At 49.5% G+C, this 11,003-nt stretch overlaps 2 protein-coding genes across 6 annotated transcripts in view, besides 5 other annotated features; one reads left to right on the top strand and one right to left on the bottom strand.

Moving 5' to 3' along the window:
• The window catches only part of GSR (glutathione-disulfide reductase), a 49,781-nt gene extending 43,305 nt beyond the window's left edge, over nucleotides 1–6,476 (bottom strand). For 4 of the 5 annotated variants that reach the window (NM_001195104.3, NM_001195102.3, NM_001195103.3 and 1 more), the window contains exon 1: nucleotides 6,160–6,476. In NM_001195104.3, the coding sequence (NP_001182033.1) occupies nucleotides 6,160–6,465 (306 nt within the window). In that variant the 5' untranslated portion in view covers nucleotides 6,466–6,476. Of the gene's footprint in view, nucleotides 1–5,522; nucleotides 5,652–6,159 lie in introns of those variants that run through there. The other variant, XM_047421727.1, reaches the window with a different exon arrangement.
• Nucleotides 2,933–2,992: a silencer, noted in NCBI's record as "silent region_19082". NCBI's record gives its function as "represses an Ori minimal core promoter by ATAC-STARR-seq in GM12878 lymphoblastoid cells {active_cell/tissue: GM12878}" and the evidence as "EXISTENCE:reporter gene assay evidence [ECO:0000049][PMID:35858748]".
• Nucleotides 5,374–6,061: an enhancer, noted in NCBI's record as "NANOG-H3K27ac-H3K4me1 hESC enhancer chr8:30584261-30584948 (GRCh37/hg19 assembly coordinates)". NCBI's record gives its function as "activates a minimal SCP1, AML or CMV promoter by ChIP-STARR-seq in primed H9 embryonic stem cells {active_cell/tissue: H9 hESC(primed)}" and the evidence as "EXISTENCE:reporter gene assay evidence [ECO:0000049][PMID:30033119]".
• Nucleotides 6,137–6,576: a silencer, noted in NCBI's record as "silent region_19083". NCBI's record gives its function as "represses an Ori minimal core promoter by ATAC-STARR-seq in GM12878 lymphoblastoid cells {active_cell/tissue: GM12878}" and the evidence as "EXISTENCE:reporter gene assay evidence [ECO:0000049][PMID:35858748]".
• Nucleotides 6,647–6,736: a silencer, noted in NCBI's record as "silent region_19084". NCBI's record gives its function as "represses an Ori minimal core promoter by ATAC-STARR-seq in GM12878 lymphoblastoid cells {active_cell/tissue: GM12878}" and the evidence as "EXISTENCE:reporter gene assay evidence [ECO:0000049][PMID:35858748]".
• UBXN8 (UBX domain protein 8) overlaps nucleotides 7,765–11,003 on the top strand; it is a 37,872-nt gene continuing 34,633 nt past the window's right edge. The window contains exons 1-2 of the mRNA XM_011544655.3: nucleotides 7,765–7,975; nucleotides 10,159–11,000. Coding sequence (XP_011542957.1) covers nucleotides 10,875–11,000 — 126 coding nt within the window. The 5' untranslated portion in view covers nucleotides 7,765–7,975; nucleotides 10,159–10,874. The remainder of the gene's footprint in view (nucleotides 7,976–10,158; nucleotides 11,001–11,003) is intronic.
• Nucleotides 7,824–8,348: an enhancer, noted in NCBI's record as "H3K4me1 hESC enhancer chr8:30586711-30587235 (GRCh37/hg19 assembly coordinates)". NCBI's record gives its function as "activates a minimal SCP1, AML or CMV promoter by ChIP-STARR-seq in primed H9 embryonic stem cells {active_cell/tissue: H9 hESC(primed)}" and the evidence as "EXISTENCE:reporter gene assay evidence [ECO:0000049][PMID:30033119]".

Genomic DNA, 11,003 nt, shown 5'->3' on the forward strand with positions numbered 1-11,003 from the left:
CCGGGCATGGTGGTTCAGGCCTGTAATCCCAGCACTTTGGGAGGCCAAGGTGGGCGGATCACTTGAAGTCAGGAGTTTGAGACCAGCTTGGCCAACATGGCAAAACTCAGTCTCTACTAAAAATATAAAAAAATTAGCCAGGTGTGGTGGCGGGCACCTGTAATCCCAGCTACTCAGGAGGCTGAGGTAGGAGAATCACTTGAACTTGGGAGGTGGAGGTTGCCGTGAGCCAAGATCGTGCCACTGCACTCCAGCCAGGGTGACAGAGTGAGACTTCGTGTCAAGAAGAAAAAAAAAAAGCCAAAGGGTATCAGTATTTCCATATCATTCCTTTAGTTTCCCTCTATAAAAAAAGTTCTTGGATTCTTGGACAGACACGGTGGCTCATTTCTATAATCCCAGCACTTTGGAAGGCCGAGGTGGGTGGATCGGTTGAGGTCAGGAGTTCGAGACCAGCCTGGCCAACGTGGTGAAACCTCGTCTCTACAAAAAAAAAATTAGCTGGGTGTAGTGGCACACGCCTGTAGTCCCAGCTACTCAGGAGGCTGGGCAGGAGAATCGCTTGAACCCGGGAGGCAGAGGTTACAGTGAGCCAAGATGGTACCACTACATTCCAGCCTGGGTGACAGCCAGACTCTGTCTCAAAAAAAAAAAAAAGCATTCTCTGTGGTTACTTTTCAAAGTATGTTTTACAAAGAAATAGACACCCTGAAGGATTCAGAGGCAGTCTATCTTTTCCTAGCCCTGCAGATTTAGTGGGTTTTGAGGCAGATGGCAAAGCAACAGTATATGAAGACTAGTACAAAAAAAGGAAGCAGTCAACAAGGTAAGTTAAAAGCCAAATTTCAACAATAGCATTTGCTTGCTTTAACTAGCCCCACCCTTTATGGCCACTCCTTTATTTGTCACTTATGAATATGGGTGGGCCCCATTCTATGAAATTCTAAACCCAGGAGACACATTAGGGTAACCTTCTATTTCGGAGGGCTATCTGTCAATATTGCAGGAACTGATGACAGAGTTCCTTTAAACTGACCTCCTTTTAGTAAATTGCATTTAATAATGCATGTTCAGGCTGGGCACGGTGGCTCATGCCTGTAATCCCAGCACTTTGAGAGGCTAAGGTGGGAGGACTGCTTGAGCTCAGGAGTTCGAGACCAGCCTGGGCAACAAAGCAAGACCTTGTCTCTACTAAAAATTTAAAAAATCAGCCAGGGCATGGTGGTGGCCATGTGCCTGTGGTCCTGACTACTGGGGAGGCTGAGGTGGGAGGGTCACTTGAGCTTGGGAGTTCAAGGTTGCAGTGAGCTATGATCATGCCCCTGCACTCCAGCCTGGGTGACACAATGAGACCCTGTCTCAAAAAAAAAAAAAAAAAAAAAAAGCATGTCCAGTGTTCAGCTTTACCAGGGTATAGACATCATAATATCAAAGTACACAGTATCACTTCCAAATGAGGTTATGATTTACATGTTGCTGGGTAATTGTTTTCAGCCTAGATGAACAATGATTCACTGAGCAGCCTGCTGTTCACTGATCTTTCAAAGCCCCTACCTCTCTCTCCCCTAGGCCTCTCCAACTGCTGCTGTGCAGCATAGTTCACTGTGACTTGGCAATCATGAACTTTTGTCACATGATCAACCCTTACTACCCAACTCTCATTGGTAAGTACTACTCGCCAAAACCACAGGAACCTGGTTATTCTTATCACAGAATCAGTACACTCAGCAGGAACCCAGGACCGCAAGTTCCCCAGGCCCTGGGGCAAAGGGAGCAGCAATTTAGAAACAACTTTTCCTTAAGCTGACTCTCCCATCACGTGTGTAGGCAGAGAAGCGAACCACAGAGGCAAAGCTCCCAGAAGGCTCTAATTCACCTTGACTTTGGGCGATCTTTGCATTTCTCTCCAGTCTACACGAGATCATGAGATAAGCAATATACTTAACCTTTTGGAGACTTGAAATGCTGAATTCAAGCAAGGCTCAGTGGTATCTACCTGCAGAACCAGCTAGTCGGGAGGTTGAGGTGGGAGGATCGCTTGAGCCCAGGAGTTTGAGGCTACAGTGAGCTGAGATCACACCACTGCCCTCCAGCCTGGGAAACAGAGGGAGACCCTGTCTCTTAAAAATGAAACAACATGCCAGACGCGGTGGCTCATACTTGTAATCCCAGCACTTTGGGAGGCTGAGGCGGGTGGATCACTTTAGGTCAGGAGTTCGGGATCAGCCTGGCCAACATGGTGAAACCTCATCTCTACTAAAAATACAAAAAATTTGCCAGGCGTGGTGGCCTGCGCCTGTAGTCCCAGCTACTTACGAGGCTGAGGCACATGAATTCCTTGAACCCAGGAGACGGAGGTTGCAGTGAGCCGAGATCACCCCACTGCACTCCAGCCTGGGTGACAGAGCAACAAACACACACACACACACACACACACACACACACACACCCAGGTCTGCTGGGACCTAGTACAGGAGACTGGTCCAAAACAATGGCCTCCCATAAACTTTAACGGTTGAACAATTAAATGAAGGAACACTGATAAAACAATGAAAAACCAACCAATCTCACTACCTGTAAATGACCACTGCTAGACACACATTCTAATTTGAACCTTCCGTGTGAGTTCATTCACCACAACTTTAAAACTTCCCCAAGCGTTAGAAATTAATGGATTTTATTTAGGAAAGAACTCATGGGAGAACCAATCTTAAACTTCTGCCGTGCACAGTGGCTCACGCCTGTAATCCTAACACTTTCGGAGACCAAAGCAGGAGGATTGCTTGAGTCCAGGAGTTCAATACCAGCCTAGGCAATGTAGTGAGACCCTATCTCTATAAACTGAAAGGAAAAGAAAAAGAAAAAGACAGAAAGACAAACTTCTATTGGGCATCGCCAAGGGTGAGATCTCAATCCTATGGCTTACCACAAAACTACTTTCACTGAGTCACTGGTTTGCTCAAACCCACCCCTGCCCCCATAGTTCACTGTGTGTCCAGAAACTCCACATTTTTCAAACCACAACCTACCCATCAGCTTCTCATCTCTTATTTCTATTAAAGAGACACTCTGTGCTCCAAATTTGATTACACAACATATCCCGTTTTGATGCCTAGGCCTGGGACCCATCTTTTGAGGTTCCGAATGTCAAAGAATACTACCCAACCCCCCACCTTTTTTTTTTTTTTTTTTTTTTGAGACAGAGTCTCACTCTGTTGCCCACACTGGAGTGCAGAGGCATGATCTTGGCTCACTGCAACCTCTGCCTCCTGGGCTCAAGTGATTCTCATGCCTCAGCCTCCCAAGTAGCATGTGCCACCACACCCGGCTAATTTTTGTATTTTTAGTAGAGACGGAGTTTCACCGTGTTGGCCAGGCTGGTCTCGAACTCCTGACCTCAGGTGATCTGCCCACCTTGGCCTCCCAAAGTGCTGGCGTGAGCCATCACGCCCAGCCTAGATGGTTACATTCTTGTGAGGTTCTTATGAGCCTCAGTAAATCTACATTTTACATAAGATAAAGTAAAAGTGAAAAGCAGGAGTAGAGGAGATAAGGCTATGACATGGGATTGTGAAATTACAGCTGTCTGTTTGGGAACAAAAGGAAAAGCAGTATTTGTGTGATTCAGTTCCCAAGCTGAACTTTCCTTCTGGCATACTTTGGGGTTCCAATATTTTTTTCTTTCACAACCACAAAATTCCTTAAGGGAAGGGACATGTCTCACAAATGTTTATATCTATCGTTTTCTCCCTACCCACCCCCAATCCCAGCACTTAAAATACAAAAAATGGGACAGGAGTGGTGGCTGATGCCTGTAATCCCAGCATTTTGGGAGGCCAAGGCAGGCCGACTGCTTAAGCACAGGCATAAGAGACCAGTTTGGGCAACATGGCAAAACCCTGTTTCTAAAAAACAATAAATAAAATAAAAACAGGCCAGGCGTGGTGGCTCACGCCTGTAATCCCAGCACTTTGGGAGGCTGAGGTGAGCGGATCACAAGGTCAGGAGTTCAAGACCAGCCTGGCTCTACTAAAAATACAAAAGTTAGCTGGGTGTAGTGGCACCTGTAATCTCAGCAATTTGGGAGGCCGAGGCAGGAGAGTTGCTTGAACCCAGGAGGCGGAGGTTGCAGTGAGCCGAGATTGCACCACTGCACTCCAGCCTGGGTGACAGAGCAAGACTCCATATCGAAAAAAAAATAGATAAATACATTTTAAAAATAAAAAATTAGCTGGGTGTGGTGGCTCATGCTTGTAATCCAAGCACTTTGGGAGGCCAAGGTGGGTGGATTACCAGAGGTCAGGAGTTTGAGACCAGCCTGGCCAACATGGCAAAACCCCATCTCTATTAAAAGTACAAAAACTAGCCGGGCATGGTGGCATGCACCTGCATTCCCAGCTACTCGAGAGGCTGAGACGGGAGAACTGCTTGAACCTGGGAGGCAGAGGTTGCAGTGAGCCCAGATTGCACCACTGTACTCCAGCCTGGGTGACAGAGTGAGACTCCCTCTCAAAAAAAAAAAAAAAAAAAGAATTCATAACAGGAAGGTAAAGTGGGTGAACCTCTGAAGCACATTATAACATAAGTAGAGAAAGAGGAAGACAGAGAAAATGTGGAGAGCAGAACAGAAGTGAGAAGTGATCAAGTACTCTCATGAGGTGTGGGAGGGGGGCACTTAGTGGCACCCCACAATCTGCCTTCTGGAGAGACAGATTTCTAACCTTCTGTCTGGACTATGGTGTCAAAGTGCAAGTTGATAATTAACAGAGATTTTTCCTTTCTCTTCATCTCCATGTTCATCTCCAAGGCACTGAACAATGAAGTCAACCTTTTCATAACTGTCCATTTTTAGTTTCATTCATTGCACAAGTGCTTATTGAGCAAGGGATTTTAAGGTGATAAGAGACACACAAACACAGAAGCCCATCCCTGTCCTTAAAGAGCTCCCAATTTGACATAATTTAAATATTCATCTCCAAAGGAATTTAGAGAACCTATCCCAAATCCCAGGTTCCTCTTGGATACAGCATTTTAATCGTCAACACCCAAATCTTGTGATAGAAAAGGGCGGGCACACCAATAACTTGGAAACAACATTTATTTTTAGAATGAGTGCAGTGGCTCAGGCTTGTAATCCCAGCACTTTGGGAGGCTGAGGCGGGAAGATCGGTTGAGTCCAAGAGGTTGAAATCAGCAAGGGCAACATAGCGAGACCCCCATCTCTACAAAAAATAATAATAATTAACTAGGCGTGGTGATTAGCCCCCTGTAGTTCCAGCTACTCAGGAGGCCAAGGTGAGAGGATCCCTTGAGCCCGGGAGTTCGAGGCTGCAGTGAGCTATGATGGCCACTGCACTCTAGCCTAGGTGACAGGGCAAGACCCTGTCTCAAAAAACAAACACAAACAAAAACCCTTATTTTCAAAAATTATGAATTTTGTAAATCTCAGGATTTACATCCCTCTGTTTTTAGTTTTGCAATCCACATAAAACCAAGACAAAACAAAAGCTCTGAGAACTCACCTACTCAAGGTCGCCTTGGCTGCAATTCAGATCACCCGAAAATCCCAAAGCCCAGGCTGCACTTCAGACCAATTAAGTCGGGAAACATCCCAAAGCCCAAGTGCACCTCAGACCAATTAAGTCGGGAATCCAGGCACCCTCAGGTGATTCGAATGTGTAGCCAAGGTTGACAACAACCGCTATAAATCATTCTGCCCTTGAAACGGGAGAACCAGGATCTACATTTTTCAAGAACCAGGATCTATGGCACCGTCACCCTCGTCCCTACACACAGGCCACCAGCAATGTTCCCAGATGCAGTTTTGTGTTTCACGCGGTCAAGAACAGAATCCAATCCTCTCCCACTTGGACAAGTGAGGATGGAGGAAGGTTAATCTAACCCGCCCCGGCCCTGGTCAATATCGCATCCGTGCGGAAGCAGACGCTGGCTCGGCTTTGCGGGCCGCAGAGAAGCCCCCGGACGCCTCTCTCTCCTCCACCTGCTGGGTTCCTGGCTTCGGAATGGGGAGTTGCGGGGGTGGAAAAGAGGAAAGCCCAGCGCCGGGGGACAGGATCGCCATAGGAACGAGCACAGGCTGTCCCCCGAAAGACCGAGACAAAGAGGCGCCCCCCGCCCGAACAAACCGGCGGTACTCACGCAAGTGCCACCCAGCTTGTGGCTCTCCACCACGGCGGCCCTGGCACCCAGCTCGGCCGCCCTGCGCGCGCTGGCCAGCCCGCCCGAGCCGCCCCCGATCACCAGGTAGTCATAGGAGGCCACGGCGCCAGCAGCGGGCGGCGGGCCCTGCGGCTGCGGCTCCTGCCTGCAGGCCATGGCACGGGAGAGGGCGCGCGTGAGGGCCGCGGGCTCGGGCAGAAGCAGCAGGAAGCCTCGGAAGGCGCGCGCCGCCCGCCGCCAGCTCGGTCCCGCGCCGGCGCTCAGGGCTCGGGGCAGCAGGGCCATGCACGCGGAAGTGGCGCGCCAAGTGGGGCGGGCGGCCCGGGGGCGGTCCCCGGGGTAGGGGGGCGCGGGCCCCGGGCAAGCGCAGCCTCACGGTGACTAAGCATGCGCCCGCCGCTAGGCAAGACCCAGGAGGATGCCCAGAGGCGGGGCCGCCTCCCAGTTCCCCGCCCCGGTGGCGGAGCCTGAGGGGTTTCTCCGCCTCCGTTCTCACCCCGGCCCCTGGATCCCGAGCGGCGCCTGCCGCGTGTAGCCTTCTGAAGTCCGGTGGATCGAGGCGAGGAACGGTGAACGTCCTCTCGTTTCAGCTGGCTTTTCCCGAGCTGGCCCCCTGGGGAGTTGCCAGTGGCACGGCTTCTCCAGGAAGAGAAATTTGCCTCTATTCGAAGGGTTGTTTGTCCAGGTTTGTTCCAGAGACCACTTTTGTTTGTTCTTGCTTTTTCTTTGAGACTGGGTCTCACTCTCCCCCAGGCAGGGGTGCAGTGATGCGATCTCTGCTCACTGCAGCCTCCACCTACTGTGCTCAAGCAGCGATCCTCCCTCCTCAGCCTTCCCGGTAGCTGGGAACTACAGGTGCCCGCCACAGCGCCCAGCTAATTTATTTATTTATTTATTTAATTTTTTTTTTTATTTTTTTTATTATTTTTATTTTTTTTTTAGAAATAGGGTCTCACTATGTTACCAGGACTGGTAGGGAACTCTTGGCCTCAAGCGATTCTCTCACCTCGGCCTCCCAAAATGCTAGGATTATGGTATGAGGTCACCACTTCTCCTGTTGTCCTTCTCAGTTTCTCCCCAACCTCCCCTTTTCCCTAGTTTATAAGACAGGAGAAAAGGGAGAAAGCAAAAAGTTGGAAAGAAACAGAAGTAAGATAAATAGCTAGACGACCTTGGCACCACCACCTGGCCCTGGTGGCTAAGATAATAATAATATTATTAACCCCTGACCAAAACTATTGGTGTTATCTGTAAATTCCAGACATTGTATGAGAAAGCACTGTAAAACTTTTTGTTCTGTTAGCTGATGTATATAGCCCCCAGTCACGTTTCCCACGCTTACTTGATCTATTATGATTTTTTCACGTAGACCCCTTAGAGTTGTAAGCCCTTAAAAGGGCTAGGAATTTCTTTTTCGGAGAGCTCGGCTCTCAAGACGCGAGTCTGCCAACGCTCCTGGCCGAATAAAAAACCTCTTCCTGCTTTAATCTGGTGTCTGAGGAGTTTTGTCTGTGACTCATCCTGCTATATTTCTTGGTTCCCTGACTGGGAAGCGAGGTAATTGACGGACAGTCGAGGCAGCCCCTTAGGGGGCTTAGGCCTGCCCTGTGGAGCATCCCTGCGGGGAACTCCCGCCAGCTTGAGCGACGCGGATCCTGCGAGCGCTCCTGGGTAGGCAATTGCCCCGGTGGAACGCCTAGTCAGAGCAGTGCGTGGCAGGCCCCCGTGGAGTATCAACGCAGTGGCTGAACACCGGGAAGGAACAGGCACTTGGAGTCCGGACATTTGAAACTTGGTAAGACTGGTCTTCGGAACTTGCCCACTCCATTTGAGTGGAAGCATGGCCTGATCACCCACGGCGTGCCTGTACTGGCACTTTGGTTTTTGTTTTTGACTTGACTTGAATTGCTTGACACTTTGGTTTTGGTTTGACCTGGCTTGGATTACTGGATACTCTGATTTTGGTTTTGATTCTGGTTTGGTGAAAACTGAAAAAGTGCGTGTGTGCCCTTTTTACCCATTCTTTGTTTTGTGGTGTGCGTTTGGTGTGAGCTTGGTGTTTTGTCTTGAGGAAACACGGGTCAGACACAAAATAAGCCTACTCCTCTAGGAACTATGTTGAAAAATTTTAAGAAGGGATTTAATGGCGACTATGGGGTTACTATGACACCAGGGAAACTTAGAACTTTGTGTGAAATAGATTGGCCAACATTAGAAGTGGGTTGGCCATCAGAAGGAAGCCTGGACAGGTCCCTTGTTTCTAAGGTATGGCACAAGGTAACTGGTAAGTCAGGACACTCAGACCAGTTTCCATACATAGACACTTGGTTACCACAGTGGGTAAGAGGGCAGGCAGCAGCAGTGCTAGTAGCAAAGGGACAGATAGTCAAGGAAGGATCCCGCTCCACCCACCGAGGGAAATCAACTCCTGAAGTTCTGTTCGACCCAACATCAGACGATCCATTGCAGGAGATGGCAAAAGTCATCCCAGTGGTGCCCTCCCCTTACCAGGGAGAGAGGCTCCCCACTTTTGAGTCCACAGTGCTTGTGCCTCCGCAAGACAAACATATCCCTAGGCCACCCAGAGTAGACAAGAGAGGAGGTGAAGCCTCAGGAGAAACCCCTCCCTTGGCAGCTCGTTTAAGACCCAAAACGGGGATACAAATGCCCTTGAGAGAGCAGCGGTATACTGGAATAGATGAGGATGGGCACATGGCGGAGAGGCGTGTTTTTGTGTGCCAGCCCTTCACCTCTGCCGACCTTCTCAACTGGAAAAACAATACCCCGTCCTGTACTGAAAAGCCACAAGCTCTAATTGATTTGCTCCAAACTATTATCCAGACCCATAACCCCACTTGGGCTGATTGCCACCAGTTGCTCATGTTCCTCTTTAACACAGATGAAAGGCGGAGAGTGCTCCAAGCAGCAACTAAGTGGCTAGGGGAACATGCACCGGCTGATTACCAAAACCCCCAAGAGTATGTAAGGACCCAGTTACCGGGAACCGACCCCCAGTGGGACCCAAATGAAAGAGAGGATATGCAAAGGCTAAACCGATACAGGGAAGCTCTCTTAGAAGGATTAGAGGGGAGCCCAGAAGGCCACAAACGTTAATAAGTTCTCTGAGGTCATTCAGGGAAAAGAAGAAAGTCCAGCACAATTCTACGAGAGACTGTGTGAGGCCTATCACATGTATACTCCCTTTGATCCCGATAGCCCTGAAAATCAACGCATGATTAACATGGCTTTAGTTAGTCAAAGCGCAGAAGACATTAGAAGAAAACTGCAGAAACAGGCTGGGTTTGCAGGGATGAACACATCACAATTATTAGAAATAGCTAACCAGGTGTTTGTAAACAGGGATGCAGTAAGCCGTAAGGAAAACCGCAGAGAGAATGAACGTCAGGCCCGGCGAAATGCCGAGCTGTTAGCTGCAGCAATTAGAGGGATCTCCCACAAAAAGGCAAGGGAAGGGGGGCCCCGGGAAAGAAACTCAGCCTGGCTGTCAGAGCTTGCAGCGTAATCAGTGTGCTTATTGTAAAGAAATAGGACATTGGAAGAACAAATGCCCTCAGCTAAAAGGAAAACAAGGTGACTCGGAGCAGGAGGCTCCAGACAAGGAGGAAGGGGCCCTGCTCAACCTGGCAGAAGGGTTATTGGACTGAGGGGGACCGGGCTCAAGGACTCCCAAAGAGCCTATGGTCAGGATGACAGTTGGGGGTAAAGACATTGATTTTCTTATAGATACCGGTGCTGAACATTCGGTAGTAACCGGCCCAGTCGCCCCCTTATCCAAAAAGACTATTGACATCATCGGAGCCATGGGAGTTTCAGCAAAACAAGCTTTCTGCTTGCCCCGGACTTGTACTGTAGGAAGACATAAAGTGATTCATCAGTTTTTGTACATGCCTGATTATCCCTTGCCCTTGTTGAGAAGGGACTTGCTTAGCAAACTGAGAGCCACTATCTCTTTTACAGAGCACGGCTCTTTGCTGCTAAAGTTACCCGGAACGGGAGTCATTATGACCCTTACGGTCCCCCGAGAGGAGGAATGGAGACTTTTGTTAACTGAGCCGGGCCAAGAGATAAGACCAGCTCTGGCTAAGCGGTGGCCAAGAGTGTGGGCGGAAGACAACCTCCAGGGTTGGCAGTCAACGAAGCCCCCGTACTTATAGAAGTTAAGCCCGGGGCCCAGCCGGTTAGGCAAAAACAGTACCTGGTCCCCAGAGAAGCTCTTGAAGGTATCCAGGTCCATCTCAAGCACCTAAGAACCTTTGGAATTATAGTTCCTTGTCAGTCTCCATGGAACACTCCCCTCCTGCCTGTTCCCAAGCCTGGGACCAAGGACTACAGGCTGGTACAGGATTTGCGCTTGGTTAATCAGGCTACAGTGACTTTACATCCAACAGTACCTAACCCGTACATATTGCTGGGGTTGCTGCCAGCTGAGGACAGCTGGTTCACCTGCTTGGACCTGAAAGACGCTTTCTTTAGCATCAGATTAGCCCCTGAGAGGCAGAAGCTGTTTGCCTTTCAGTGGGAAGATCCGGAGTCAGGTGTCACTACTCAGTACACTTGGACCTGGCTTCCCCAAGGGTTCAAGAACTCCCCCACCATCTTCGGGGAGGCATTGGCTCGAGACCTCCAGAAGTTTCCCACCAGAGACCTAGGCTGCGTGTTGCTCCAGTACGTTGATGACCTTTTGCTGGGACACCCCACGGCAGTCGGGTGCGCCAAGAGAACAGATGCTCTACTCCGGCACCTGGAGGACTGTGGGTATAAGGTGTCCAAGAAAAAAAGCTCAGATCTGCCAACAGCAGGTA

Source organism: Homo sapiens, chromosome 8 (assembly GCF_000001405.40).
Source record: "Homo sapiens chromosome 8, GRCh38.p14 Primary Assembly".
In the NCBI taxonomy this organism is placed as follows: domain Eukaryota; kingdom Metazoa; phylum Chordata; class Mammalia; order Primates; family Hominidae; genus Homo; species Homo sapiens.